Genomic DNA, 16,417 nt, shown 5'->3' on the forward strand with positions numbered 1-16,417 from the left:
AGGTGTGAACTACTTACTAAGGTGGACTGCAATAAAAAATATTAACTTTGTCATAAAATGTCGAATATTCATTAGTGTATTTATACATGTATGAGTCTGAGAAAGCCAGACTCCAAAGAGTGAACTATGCAATACGTATTTTATTTTTTTCTAATAAGGTATTGATTTTTGTTACAGATAAAGATTTAAAACTATCCAAATACTGCATTAAAGTGGCAAAGTGCTTATGAGAAAGAAGATATCAGAGCTGAATTTCTACTTTTATCACCATTGAGGGATACAGCATTCTCAAATGCATCCAGTATCATTATCTGACTAGAAAATTCTTGCTCAAATCATTGTTCAACAGAATACTGTTTAGATCTTATTTACAGTTTCCAATTGGACTTTAGGCAAGAAGCTCTTGTAGGCTTTAAATTCCACACAAAGGCACAATCACATAATCATGACTCTTCTTCCTCAAATATTTTACATGCTTCCTCATAAAAAGTAGAGCTCTTCAAAAGGTTAGGCCTATCTCCCTACCAGTATTGGATTGAGTGTACAGACAAAAACATACCTCAAATATGTTTGGTAAAGATCAGAAAAAAACTCTAATTTTTCATTTTACAATGTAGACTTGTCACAAAGAATAAAGAATAAGAGAATAGCTGGAAGCAGTACCTCTTTCAAAGCGTAGGAGGGCAGGCTGTCAGCAAACCAATGGGACTATGACGAAAGGCCAGCATCCACTGTCTTTTAGTTTGTGGAAACCATTTATTATTTTAAAAAATTATACCATTAATAAACTTAGAGGCATGGTATCTGTCATCATTACTGATTTGTATGCATGAAAAAACCTCCTGACCTTTTCTTTTTTAAATTTTATAACTCATGTGAATTCGGTTTCCTTAAGGACTTGTTAAACAGTACTATGGCTTTCTTGGTCATCCTGAATGCTAATTTTCTTCAGGTAATTCGGTTCGTGAAGACTGAAAGTCATTATTTGTTTATGACCTAATGTCATTCATTAGTTCTGTTTCATTAAAAAAATGGATATTACTGAAGAAATATGTTTATCAAAGAAAAGATTCAAGGTGGGCTTTATTATCTTCAAGCATGTGGTCTATTAAGCAAAATAAGATATTCAGCAAAAGACTATGATAAATCAGTTTCTCTTTATTGAAGAAGCTACTTTGACATTTCCATTCCAGCTCAGTCTAAGTCTGCATGACAAACAACTGTTTCTTGCTAGCTTCTGTATTAATGTTTAAACTCTCTTTGGTAATCAGGACTTTTAAACATTTTTTATAATGATTTGGATAGAAATAGTCAAATTTATAATTACATTTGTGACAGAAAGGTGAACCTTCTAACAGTAGTATTTTTAAACATATCTCTATACTGAAGCAAAAAGAACAACCTAGCATCCTTTGCCTTATCATCTTCTATTCTATAAAATATGAAAATGGGATAAAAGTGAAGTATACACTGTGTTTTCACCCTACGCTTGAATTAAGAATTGCTTTCTTTCCTTCATATTAGAGTAAGTTAAAATTAGAACACTTTTTATTTAAATTGTCAGGTAAAATGTGTTGCTTTCAAAATATGCTTTCTTTTTAGTAAAATAAAGATCCACCTTTCTTTCTTATATTAAAATGCAAAGAAATGTATATTTTAGAGTAACATATGCATTTATTATTTGCAGGGGTCATACAGAATAGAGGTAGGCTACCAGAGTGCTTCTCCAGAGCTGATCAAGCACGTTAGCATTTGTAAAGTTCTTTTTTTTGTCAGGAGAACCAAAAAGACATACTTCCAAAATTAAAATGTAAATCATATGTTCAAAACTAAAATGAATTAATGAGTTAAGTCTTACAATACCTGTTGGAAACACTTTCCACAAGACTTTTGTGATCTTTTATTTGATGGGCCATGAGCAACCAGAAATGAGTATGTTTTTAGATTCCTGGACTGCCATGCTTCAAATATATTGATGTATCTTACTTTACATCTCTTTCTCTAAGAGGATTATTCAGTTACCACTTTTGAGCTTAAAAAAAATAGACTTTAATGTTGTATTCCAGATAAATTCTTTTAAAATTCTGGTATCAACTTTTAAAATATTATCTTCTGAATTATCCACTGGATTTTTCTCCCTGGAGGCTCACTTTAGAGATGTTCACACACAACTGCTGGTTTGCTTTAGATAAAGCACTTGTTCTCACGTTCTCATGTAAGTTTTATCACAAACAATGTCTAACTTCACTTTTATCATTTCGCTTCTTAATTCCTTTCTCTTTGTCACAAGTCCTGTGCTTTGTAGCTGTTTTCCTTATTTTTGTTTTTAATGTGGCTTACCTTTGCAGTTAAAATTCTTAGAAATTATTGTTACTTTGAATTTCAAATCAGAGGAATTAATTTTTTTAAAGTCTATAATGCAAACAAATTATTATGATATTGAATACACTAAAAATCTGAAGCATTTTTCCAGTTTAAATGATAATTATAATATAAACAAATACACTCTTATAAAATGTGAGTAAAATTAATATTAAGAGAGAATTTGAATAGCTTCAATATTAACTCTAATATTATTTCATATACAAACGTTTTACAATTTATTTCCAGGATCAGAAAAGGAACCATATAAAATACCACAAAAAAAAATATAGGCTTTGCCTGAAGTGTTATAAGTAAAATTTAGAAATGTTCATAAAGATTATAAAGTTTCTTCTCAATTTGTTTAAGTTCAGAAACGTCATTAAAATGTTTATATTTGCTCACCTTTTTGGTAGGCACAGGCTAATTCAAGATAAAATAATGTAATGTTTTTCTGGGTGCTATGACCCCACATAAACAGTCCTGAAGACAAATAATGTCATTCAGGATGCTAAGTGCTTACCTAGATACAGGACATGATAGGGACAGATCCCCCACCTGAACTGAAGCAAGTCAAAGAGGACTTGAGGCTAACCTGAGACTTGGAAGATGAAGAGTTCCCTGGCAGACAGGAGGAAAGAAAGACAAGACTAATGGGGAGTGTTGTAGGGAAAGAAACTGGCTTATCCAAAGTCATGGGGACACATAACAGCACAGACACATAAACTGTCAGTATTTTAGTTTGGTCTACGTCTAGGGACTTAAAGATCAAACCAACATCTTTAACTATACCAAGAATATAATATAGTCCAAACAACGGCCCATAAATGTTCTAGGTATGTGGGAGTTTTTATGGCAGTCTTCATTAATCCCATGTTATGAAAAAGAATTATTTCTGATGTTCCTGACAAATCAGCAGAGTTGCAAGTGAAGGAAGGAAAGTGGAAGAAGTTTGGAAATAAATGACCGTGATTTAATATGGAAGAATCACAGCAAGAGAACCCTGATATTTTGGTTCTAACTCCAGTTTAGTTTATAAACCTGCTTCGTATTCTAAACAAGTCATCACTGACCCTATATTTTCTAAATACAGGATAATGTTTGGCCTAAATATGTTGTTTGTGTTTTAACAAAACTCTGTTAGTCAAGAGACAAAAACACAGTGTCATTGTTGGAAATGCTGAAAGAAATCTTGAAATTCAACCTCCTTCATCCTATAGCTTCCTCCACTTCCACCTTCTACCTGCTTCCCCTTCTATCTTCCTTTTCCTGTTTCTACATTTTCTACCTTCCTATGTTAGCTCCTGAGCGTCTATGAATAAACCTAAAGCTTCATAAAATACTGTGGAAATTAGTGTCCAGATAACTTCTTATGTTCTTTCAGACCATATTTCTCCATCTCTGAATGGTGTTTAATTAATAATCAATTAATAGTCAAAGGGAAAAGGGGAAATCTGAGGGCCTGTGATAATAAATAATAAATATAGTTAGGTTAATTGGTGGAATCTAATGAAGAGGAAAGGTATACTATAATGAAAGAAGGCAATAAATAAAATCTGGAACTAAAATAGTAATTGTAAATACTATCTATGAATTCCTTAGTGTCAGATATTTTAAATATTTAGTCTTGTTTAAATTTCCAACCATCCTGGAGTAGCTATACTGTTTCCTGTTTATACAGAAAAGTACATGAGTTAAACAGGTTAAAAGAATAGTTTCTTATGGACTCCACTGACAACCTATGGAGAGACAATGCTTTTGTACTGGGCCCTTATAGGTGTTGAGCTTAATCTTCAGAGCCTCCTGTCCTGGGGTGGGGGGAGGGGGGAGGGATAGCATTAGGTGAAATACCTAATGTAAATGACCAGTTAATGGGTGCAGCACACCAACATGGCACATGTATACATATGTAACAAACCTGCATGTTGTGCACACGTACCCAAGAACTTAAAGAATAATAATAAAACAAAGCAAAACAAAACAAATAACAACCACAACCACAACAAAAGGTTTAAAGTAAGCATATTCCCATTTTATAGCTAAAAACCTGAGATTCCAAAAGGTTAAATTAATTGCTCAACCTGAGGCCATCTGGCTCCTCTTCCAGTGCCCATTCCTCTACATACTTTATTGCTTCCTTAATCTCCACAGGAATCATTTCCCCTTTTCTATCAGCCTTCAAAAGCTTGTTGATTGCTCTCTAATTACAAATACTTGGAGAAAAGTGTGTAAATTGATATGCAAATGATCTTTTCCCCTTAGCAAATTAGCACTTTACTTCCATCTAATTAAGTAGCTTTGTGAAGGAAATGGATTTCTGAAAGAAGAATGGAAAGTGTTTGGATTTGTTCTGGGGGTGTTTCTGGTTTAGCAAGCCTTGTAAATGAGGTATATAAAAAGGAGTCAAGAGTAGGAGCAAACAATGAAAGCAGAGAAAAAACGAAGGGGGTTGGATGAAAAAATTTAAGTATAATGACTGACAAACCTTCAGGAGAAAGTAAACTGCCTTTCATCTTTCATTCTTTCTCCAATAATAACACTTTTTTTTAAAGTAAAATAAAACTTTAAGAAAGTTCTGATTTCTCTCAGACATCGGTGTTAACGCTGACAATATATTTATCAAAAATGGATATATTCAAGCCTAAACTACTAATTTTTGTTGTATCTAGAATTTACAGGACATTCTCTTAATTGGGAAGAAATTAATTCCTTGAGTATGTTACAAGAATTTTCCTTAGGAAAGAGTCACTTGTTGCAATAGGAATTAAGATATGGCTTTGCCATTATATATATTTAGTGGAATTAGGGGCAAGACATGTATGTACTAGCTTCTTCCATAATAGGACTGAAGCAGTTGCCTGAATGTTATCTTTAATTATTGCCAGTGAATAGTAATTCGGTACTGAATATGTACTGAATTGAACATGTAACTACCTGAAGTAAAAGGTGTCAATTTAAATTTTTCATTGAAAATATGGCAACTGAGATTCACAATAATATATTAAATCTTTATCCTCTAGCAATCTGTTTTTATGAATTTAACAAAATGTCTGTATGTAAGCAGTTTAGTTGTATGTGCTTGGGGAAAGCCTTTAGTCTTTATTAAATTATACTACCCAGGTCCATAAATAGCTAGTTCCTATAAGTTACACAATGCCATATTAAGTTATATTAGCCATTCTTCTTAATAATGAAAACATATTTAATAATAAAATATTATTTACCCTTCTACCTATGTTTCTTTGCCAGGTATTATACTCTTGTCTATACCACCAAATTATTTTTTGGATTTACAATGTTTATTTTTATATTTTATTCATTAAAATGTAATAAAAAATAATTGAAAACTGATGCTAATTGAATACCTTAGGAAGGATCAACTCTGCTGTTGGCAATTTCACTTATCTTATTCTAGTTGCCCTTTAAGAAAAATAAAGAGAAATCATATTGGCTGTTTTCCAGGAGATTATAACACATTGGAGAAGGGAGAATCTTTGTAGCAAAAAATAACTAGAAAACCATTGGGTGCCAGATACAAATTATGATGTAAATTATAAGAACCATTTTATTATAAACACTTCTATGGAAAAAGTGACAAATATCACATATCAGAGAAAAGGTCAGACATTCAGATCTTAATTTGTATACAAAAAATCTTTTTACTGTTACTGAATACTGATATCCCAAGAGTAATTGAAGAAGTATGCAAGTACTATAAATTGCCTCCAAGCTACAATATTCTTTTGAAGGAGAAAAGATTAAAAGATTATAAATTCCATATTCCCAACCACCATCATCCCTCCATTATCTAGACTGTGTCCCTTCCAGTGTATTGTGAAAAATCTTCGAGAGATCATGCTGCCAATATGTCAAGGATTCTACTTTTTTGTAACAGGTGAGGGCCTTTGATATCAAACAGTTCACCACCTTTATTCTTACAGGAAGACACTGAGGCCCAGAGAGGTCACTTGGGTTTGTCCTGTTGTGTTCTTAGAGGTGAAGATTTGATACCAAATCTGACATGTGATCCTCAACCAAGCAAGGGTTTCAACCTTGACTTGGTATCTTCATGCTCTGAATAGTCATCACTTTATTGTGCAATTTATCTAATAACACAATTGTGTCTGTAAAGAAAATACAAATGGAGAAAAGTTTCTGCAATTATTAAGCAGAATATAAACCTAAGGATATATAAAGCATATATTTATCTCAATATTTCCATCTTCTCTTTCTCAAATCCAAGGTTTTCTTACTCTACTTTCAAAGAACAATATATATGATGTTTTAAATTTGAATATAAAGAAGCCATTTAAATGTATTTTCTGAAATGTGCAACAGGCTGCAAGGGTTTTTTTTTTTTTTTTTTTTTTTTTTTTTTTTTTTTTTGATGAATACATAATTGTCCTAGGCATTTTTAATTTGTTGCATGGCAGATTTCCTGAATCAAATAGCAGCTGTTTGGGGAAAGTAGCAAGCACATTTTCTGCAGGCCCATTGGTTGCTGTTTTGCTTTCATATTCTCTCACCATTAACTATACAGCAGCTAGAGCAGAGGAGTTGTTAACAAAATATACTTTCACTGCTAGCCAAACTATATACATGACTTAGTGGTAATATTTGATTTTATGTCATTTACTTATGTCTCTGTATGTCTTACACCAAGGGACTAACACCCAATGGGAGAAAGAAAAAAAGGGAAAATTAACTAAGTATCTGTGAACCATCAAATAGGCTCAGATAAAATAATGAGCCTTCAACAAGCTGGAATATAATAACATTAGGACTTTGGAGTTCAGTGGGCAGTTAGATGCACTAATGGCACTGCTGTGCTGGGAAAACATATATTTTATTTGGAATTTTTGTGTGGAGGTGATTGCACATTATATGAATAGCTGTGCTAAATGCATGAAGGTTTTCTGCCAGCATAGGAGGCGATTAAGGCCCCCTCTGCCAGATAACAGCTCACTGGAGGGAAGTAATGGTGGCAAAGTAAAATCTGAAAACAGATGATTTCCCATTTAATAGTCCATTGACTCTCCTCCTACAGCCACTGTGGTGATGGTGCTGCTCTTTATTTTCATTTCACAAAGAAGCACAAGGTATTCTGAGATTTTTTAGGTCATACATTTTCTTTCAAAAAGAAAGAGAGAGAAAAAAGATGAGAGAGAAAGAGAAAAGGAGAGAAAAAACACCAAGTATTGCATTAAAGAAAAATGCAATTGATTCACTCATTCATTTTAAGAAAAAAAGATACTTATTTTTGTGTTTATTGAATGTTCATTGTAGTTCAGGATGATTTCGTTTTTTTTTCTTTCTCCCCTGCACCCCCTCGTTTGTGTCACTCATCCTCTAGGGAGCTGTATCAAACTTACAAAAAAGGGTACTGCATTTTGAATGTATATCCAACATGATTATGAGACAGACCCAGCCCACACTGTCAGAAAAAAATAAAAAATGTGTTTGTCCGTTCAAACTGTGATTTGGATATAAAATAGCCAATATACTTTTACCATTTAAAACATTTTCCCATTAATTATTTTTTCTCTTCTTTATCTTTTATGTGTTCTATATTCTCATACCATATATGTTGAATATGCTTATCTCATTTCACCATTTGTTTAAGCATAGCAGTTAATTTGTTTCTTCTTAAATATTCATCAAACAGAATTTTGATTAATTTAGATTTAAATTAAAATGTGTAAGTGTAGTATTGTCTATTAATAATTCCTGGTATTTCTGCCATAGGTCTTGAAAGTACCTTGGTCCATTCTGGACTATTTGTCTTTATTTACTAACATCATTTTCTGTCATACCACATCTATTTTTATGTACTTTTGAAAATAAGACAAATAATGATTCAGTCATCCAAGATTTGCTTAGGTATGGAAATATCAATTTTCAAATAGTCTTACAGTAAAACAAATTTAAAAGGTCCTAGAAGGAAAAAAAAAGTTTTAGTTAAACTCACTTATTTGCAAACTACTAAAAAAATAAAATAAAATGCAAAACTGTACTTCACCTTTATTTTATTGCTGGATGAAATTTTTTGTTTTCAGAATTATTTTCAGACAATACTGTAAATTTTTATGGCCAGAATCTTAGCATTTGCATTTTTTATGCCAGATATGCATTATTTTGATGTCTAGGTTCCTTCATCTTAAAAATACAGTTCATGCCAAGTTTTGGGAGATTGATCATTAAGCAAGCTGGCGATTAAGCATAGCAACACTGAATGTATGGATGTAACCATTCAGATAGGTGGTTCTATCTAATATGTCCATTTGTTTTTTAGAATGATAAATTTTTAATAATTTTTACAATTCCTTTAATCAGGCAGCTTCTTCTATAGGTACTCAGGACAGTTTAGTTTATTGATTGTTGCTTCACTTTTTGCTGTCAGAACTTGTGGATGTCTCTTTTCTATTCTAAAAGGCAGTTTTTACAGCAACAAATAGCATGCAAGTAAACTATAAAAATGTATTCAGCAAGGTAGGGTGACTCAGCCTGCAATCCCAACATTTTGGGAGGCCGAGATGGGCAGATCACTTGAACCCAGGAGTTCGAAACCAGACTGGGCAACATAGAGAGACTCTGTTCTCTACAAAAATAAAAATAAAAATTAGCTGGGAGTGGTGGTGTGTTCCTGTAGTCCCAGCTACTTGGGAGGCTGAGATGGGAGGATCACCTGAGCCCAGGGAGGTAGAGGCTACAATGAGCCATGATTGTACCCCTGCACTCCAGGGATACATAATACCCTGCAGTGCACTCCAAGTGCACCCTGCAGCCTGGGCAACAGAGTAAGATCTTGTCTGAAAAATACATAAATAAATAATAAATATGTTTTTATTTTTACTGCATATTCTCTTCTTTAATAAGTTGTTCTACATTTCATTTTTCTTTATTACCTCTTTTAAAACTATACCACTTTCTCTGGTCTTTCTGTTGTTTGCATTTCATGCCTTTGACTTTTCTTAACCCTATGGAATTCTGACATACTTACATGGAACACATATATTATTTAATTCACTACATGTATATATCATTTATTTTACTTGCCTTTAAGAAATTACTTCTCACAAAAAAAAGAAATTACTTCTTAATTTCAATATGTTTCATGCTTTTCAAGGAACTCAATATTTTCACTTAGGCCTTTTTTTCCGATTTATTTTTGTAAGAAAGTTAAATCTATGTCAACTCTAAAAATACTTTAATCCATTTGTGCTTTAATAACCTCATTAAAGGGGGAAGGAGTAATGAAGTGATGTTTCTACTTCATTAAATATACTAGTAGTGAGAACTACATATGGTGGTTTTATAATTGTTATTATTCACAACTACATCCTGAACATTTCTGAAAGATTTATAGTGATTAGCAATATTCTTCTTTTCAAGAGAGAAAAATTATGGTATGAAGAGATTAGTAATTACCTAAAGATTTTATTGGTTACTTATACCAGGAGTAGGCTAGAACTGATATCTACTAAATCTTTCTATTAGGTAGTCCATTAAAAACAAACAAACAACAACAAAAAAATTTCTGTAATTTGACCTTATAGTGCTATATTGAATTGTACTAATTATGATGGCTTTATCTTCCTTTGACTTTCAGATCCAAGTAATACCTGTGCATTTGAATCTACATGATCTAATTGTGTTTATACTTACGTCTTTCACAATTTTTACTACTATTGAGGTTGTTTGTATAAATACGGTAAATAGATCTGATAACAACTCATAGCTCAGGAATTTATATATGGTGTTAATGAGCACAAGATTAGTGATTCAAACTACATTTTAGTTCCATTTTATAAGGCTTCACCTTCTTCTCAACCAGACAGTGTATCTGGACTGTATACAAAGAGGGATGGATGCCAACTGTGAAACCCAGTTTTGAAATGTGTTTTTGTTAGGCAAGATGAGGACCAAAGGAATAAAATATTATGAGATGGTGGGGAGGAGATAAATGTCTAATTCCTAGTCTAAGGAAATATGTAAGATGGTGGAACCAGAGTCAGAATCCAAGGAAGTCTGGGGCCAAAGCTGACAGAAGAAACAAATAAGATGCAAAAGCAAAGGATTTAAGATGTGATCAGCATGGAATAATCTGGGAGAGGATGCTGTCATTTTTACTGCCAGTCCTTTTAAGGGTCCAATCCTTCTTATCAGGGATACATCTGCCCATTTTAAAAACATCATATTTAGAAATTGCATTCTGATACCAGACATCTTATAGAAAGTTGTGCTTAGTCATGCCTGGAGTAGGTGAGACAGAAAGAATGAGTAGTTAGAGTCCATGCTCACTTTTAGAAAAAAGAATTCAAAGCATATGCACTACTTTGAGTGAGTCAGTATTGTCGTCTTCAAATGCAAAGGATAACAAGTAATTTCTCCATGGCCAGGGTTGATAAAAAGTGACTCATGTCAAAGATTTATCTTTTTTTTCTCCAGGCATAGTGTTTCACAAAAAATAAATCTATATAAACTGCAAAAGTAAAATGTTCATATATGGACAACTAAAAGACAGTGTTTATCCATTCCATTATAGACATTGTACAACTATGAGTCATAGTGGCAAAATGACAAGTTTTCCACTGTAGCATCTAAGATTTAAAAATAAAAGAAAATTAGAAATCTCAAAAATAATAGTAGATTGCAAAATACCTTGCAACATTTTTTGAGTCAGCCAATTACTAGAAACTGGAACATATGTTTATCTGAGAAATACCTTTCAGCTGCCTTCCTCCATGGCTGTAAGATACATTTTGCACTACACTGCAATACCTATAATTATAGGACTATAATTTTAGGATTGGAAGGAACCTTATTGATCAGTTAGTTAATCCCTTCTTTTCACAGCTGAAGAATCTAACAACTAAACTGGTTAATGAATAAATAGTAAGTGAAGTCTAATAAAACATGTTTGAAGGCTAATAGCATCTATATAATAAAGACTAAATAGATACACATTCAAAATATGACTTCACTGTTGGGCAACATAAGACAGCTAGTGGAGAATTTAGATTTCTCTCTTTCTAACTGATTGTCATGTCTTATGGAGGAAATTCTCAAAGATAATGTTAACATATGTTGGGATAAACCCTTTCTGCTTTACCTCTTCTTGTTATCTTTTTCTTATTTTAGATTGTGTAGTGTTACAGATATATTTGTATAACCAGTGGTATATTTTATGTACTCTATGAAATTTCTCTTCTCTCAAGAAAGTTGTAGACTAGCCATATTTATCTTAGGTTGAAGATCATATGTTCTGTTTTGCCCTGGACATTTCTGGTTGTCATAGGGTAGTAGTTAATAATACCCTCTTTCACTTTTCAAAATACCTCAGTTTGAATGATAAGTTATATGTCCACCCTTGCCTTAGGTATAGTCTTTATAAAAAAAAAAATTTAACTTTTATTTTAGATTCAGGGGGTACATGGACAGGTTTGTTATATGGGAATATTGTGTGATGCTAAGGTGTGGAGTTTACGTTATCCCATCACCCAGATAGTAAACATAGTATCCAATAGGTAGTTTTTCAGCCCTTGTGTCCCTCCCTCTCTTCCCCTTCTGGTAGTTTCCTGTATCGATCGTGCCCATTTTTATGCCCACGTGTACCCAATGCTTAACTCCCACTTATAAGTGAGAACATGTGGTACTCGGTTTTCTGTTTTTGAGTAAATTTGCTTAGGATAATGACCTCTAGCTGCATCCTGTTGCTCCAAAGGACATGATTTTGTCCTTTTTCATGGCTATCTAGGATTCCATGGTGTACATGTAACACATTTTGTTTACTCCATCCACTATTGATAGACACCTATGTACAGTCTTTATTCACTATTTAAAATAGATTTATGGGATTCATCAACTGTGCATAAGAGCATTTGGGTAGGTGAGGAGGCATTAATGAAAGATGGTCCAGACACAATTCCAATATTTAGAAATTGGTATCTGGTTGGGGAGAGAATAAATACTTTAAATGATTAAGACAACACCTAATTCAGTGACAGAATAAGTGATATGCCTGAAAAATCTAAGAGTTCTGAGAAATAGGAGGTTTGAGGGCTGAAATGATGAGCATTTTCCATCTTCTCTCCACTCTGTTTAACATTTCCTTACCCCATGGGTATCTCACTGAAGGACTCCTGTGACCTGAACCTGCCTTTTCTGTCTCTTTTTCACTTTATTGCTCTCTGTAAGTTAGTGTGTCTGCTATGTTCCCATTGCCTCCAACATTAAACTCTCATAAAAGTTTTATTTTCTTTTACTTTGTGAATTCAATAAATCTACTAGTTACTTTGCCACAGTGATCCGGGCTTATGGCTTTACACGGGTAATAATCATTCATATATTAAGTGGCTGCCCTTATACTCAGCAAATCTGTTCCTTCAAAGTGAACTTTTGCAGCTATTGATTTCTTTCCCTAGTTCTTGTACCTTTTACCAAAAAGTTGGATTTCCCAAGAGCAACACCATTGGGAAAACATTTTAGTAATTGATTGCGATATATTTTGAAGGCTATGTGATCTTAGTTCTGTGGGATTCCAAAAATGTTAATTATAGAGTCCTCTCTATTGTAATTTCTGAAGTATCTTCTCTAAACTACCTCCACTGAATCTGAATTCACATTGTCTTATAGTAGAAGAAGATATTATTCAAATGTTTAGGAAATTTCTCAGGAAACGATAATTTAACCATCTGTATTTGCCTTGTATATCTGTGGGACAATAGACACATTGATTTAGTATTTTTCACTGTTTTTTGTATAGAAGACATTTTTCTTTTATGTTCTTGAGTAAATCATCTCAGAAAAGATGTAATATTTTTATGTTACAGGTAGCATCACCATAAGAATGGCTCACTGATTAGTTTTGACTTAAATACATGTTTACCTTAGCTATGCTAAGATTAAGTGTACAATTTTAATCTTCAATATCTGTAGGCTTCCAGGTTTCTGGACAGAATTCAAGAGAGTATCATTTTGTACTGGTCACTGACAGTCCAAAGACTGTCGTTAACTCTGATGTTTTTCAAATGACATATTGTGTTCACCTGAATGTTTGACCCAACAAGGAAAATGAATATTTATTCCATACATCCTTAAAGAAGGGAATTTTTCTTTTGCTTTTCATAATGTAAATTACATGATGATTGCATAAAGTTTTCATTGAGATTAGTTTATAACAATTTTTTTCTATAAATTTAATTAATAAAAATATCTAAATCTTAAAGTCAAACAATTAATTTTAAATACAGCCATTGACTTTTCAGGACTTTTAAAACCTCATAAAGATTAAAAACTGCACTTATATATATAACAGTGCTAAGATAGGTCTTAGGTAATTGTAATTTTCTCTTTATAGGAGATTTGAAGAATAATCTTCCTATGTTGGATAACGCTTTATGCAAACAGTGTCCAGAGAAAAGATATAATCCTCATTAAAAGTGGTTGTGCTTGCTTAGCCTCTATGTTTAATAGAAAATCAAGACTTGCTAGTGCAAAGATAGTGTCTGTTGATTCAGAAGATTATAGCAGTGATTTTCCAGAAGCTAATGAAAGGTACTAAAATGAATTGATAATCTAACTGGTGCATTTTAAAACGCTTAAAGAGAACTTAATATATAATGTCTTCATGAATTGCTTCTAGTTCTGTTTTAATAATAAACTCGTAACTCAGATATGCATACAAACAGGAATCAATTGGGACAGCAATGAGCATAAACATTTATAATCACTTGCTTTTATAGGAACTAAACCTATGACAGTTATATCGATGATTAGAGTACCTACACATGAAGACAGGTAGAAAGTAGAACATACATCCAAAGTAACATACTGTCAAAAATATCCAAGCAATGATTGCATATTTGAACAATGTATATTAAAAGATTATAAAATTATGTGAGCAGTATGTATTTTTAGCATTTTATATGCACAACTATCTTCTGTTTGGTCAAATTACGTGTCTTTTATACACGCTAAAAACTGAAAACAACATGGACAATGCAAAAGAATAAGTTTATGTTTCTAAATAAAAACCTGTACTTGTTAATCATTTTGTTTTTTATAACATCTCCACAACATAGGAATCAAGTCATGAAAGCAGACAAAGTGATACTATATTCTGAAGTTATTATGCTGTTGGCCTGACTGACATCTGTAGACATAAACTCTCTACCTGTTTGAAAGTATTACAGATATTAATTTTTAACAATATTTGCCCTAACTTGCATTTTTCTCTTTGTTTTTAGTATCTGACATTTTATATGTCTCAGATTAAATATTATTTTGTGGTGGTAAAATGTAAACATTATTTTTATGAATTCATTCTCATATATATACAATCACTTAAATATGTATTGAATACCAGGAAATAAGCTATATTTAACAAGTGAACACATTAATTTCCCAGGATATGTTTATTGAACCTTATGAGACTATTAATTCTGATTTATGTGCTCCTTATGTTTGATACACAGAAATAGGCAACCCTTTGGAGAACAAAAAATTAGAAGAAAATAGATGCTATAATTCATATTTCAAGTAGTACTGTCCCCAGTAATACAGAGCTAGTGAAAATAGCGCAGGATGCTTGATACTGGAGTGTACTTTAAACAATAAATTATTGGAGGGCATAGAAACCTCATCAAGACAGCAAGTCTGCAAAGACTCCATGTGGGCAACCTGGCCTTGCTCTCCTGTGCTGCTGGTCAACTTCCTACAGCTCAGCTGGCATTGCTCACCAGACAAGTACATGATAGGCATATCACTTGTTGTACATTATCTTTCAACTTTTTATCTTTTAATAATTTTCTGGCTCATTGTTACATTTCCTGTGAGAAAAATGGAGTTATTTGAAAGTTTAGTTTCAGTGGTTTTTCTTGTGGCTATAATTAGGGTGCAGTCCACTTCCCATTGATCTGTGCACAGAATACAAAATACATAAGAGAAGAGGTGATAATGTGAAGTGAGAAGTTAAGGGGAAAATGGCCATGCGGCTTCTATTATAGAAATGAGGGCTTAAACACATACAATGACATAGCCTATATATAATTGAGAGTTATCTATGTGCATGAGAAGCAATGTGTATGTATGCATATATATTAGCGGTGGGAACTGTACACAGGCTAATGTTTAGCACAAAAAATGATAAAATAATTATTTTTATTAATTAAATGCATCAAAGCCTAATTAAGGAATGACTCATGTGCAGATGATTATGAATAAATTGCCAAATAGAACCTGTCCAAATGCAGAAAAAATTGATTTTAAAATAATTCATATAATTATTTTATTGAGATAATCAAAAATATCTAATTTGAAAGCAAAATGAAGATATTTGAAATAATTTGGTTAACTTATCACATATAATTATTTTATTGAGGTAATAGCAAGTATTTAATTTGGAAGCAAAATGAAGACATTTGAAACTAGTTTGGTTAACTTATCACAGCTATGGTATAATTTGAGTCAGAAAACTGACATCAACTAAGTAACAATAGTATATCAAACCATTGAGTATATACTATGTGCTAAATAAAACATGTATGTTATGTCATTAAATTCTATCAGTAACACTGCATGGTAGATACTTGCATTTCCGTTTGATACAAGAGAAAACACAACTTACCCACATCACAGTAGAGTGCCACAGCCAAAATTTGCAGCTGTATCTCTGACATCGTGACATTTATTTTAAAAAGAGAAAATGAAATTAGTTATTTATTTAACTTAATAGAGTGGTTGAAAGCATGGGCTCTAAAGAAAACCAGATGGTTTTAAATTCTGACAGGCACTCATATACTAGCTGTGTAGTCTTGGTTACTTACCTTATTGGAGCCTGGATTATCTAATTTATAACATGGAGATAACAATACACAGAGTAAGCACTCAGTGTTGTTATTATTAAGATATACATGTTGCCTTAATTGACTGAAATATCTATGACAAGTGTAATTCTGTTGATATTTATCTGGATATTTTAAGGTATGTTTTATTTGTCTTCCAATCAGGAACATGGTAACCATAACCTGCCCAACCCCAAACTAATAACTGAGGC

The 16,417-nt window shown here is 32.6% G+C and overlaps 1 protein-coding gene across 8 annotated transcripts in view, besides 1 other annotated feature; it reads left to right on the plus strand.

Moving 5' to 3' along the window:
* The window catches only part of GRIK2 (glutamate ionotropic receptor kainate type subunit 2), a 676,376-nt gene that overhangs the window by 318,722 nt on the left and 341,237 nt on the right, over window positions 1–16,417 (plus strand). The gene's annotated exons all lie outside the window — the stretch shown is intronic.
* Window positions 4,465–5,007: an enhancer, noted in NCBI's record as "OCT4-NANOG hESC enhancer chr6:102164769-102165311 (GRCh37/hg19 assembly coordinates)". NCBI's record gives its function as "activates a minimal SCP1, AML or CMV promoter by ChIP-STARR-seq in primed H9 embryonic stem cells {active_cell/tissue: H9 hESC(primed)}" and the evidence as "EXISTENCE:reporter gene assay evidence [ECO:0000049][PMID:30033119]".

Source organism: Homo sapiens, chromosome 6 (genome assembly GCF_000001405.40).
Source record: "Homo sapiens chromosome 6, GRCh38.p14 Primary Assembly".
NCBI lineage: Eukaryota > Metazoa > Chordata > Mammalia > Primates > Hominidae > Homo > Homo sapiens.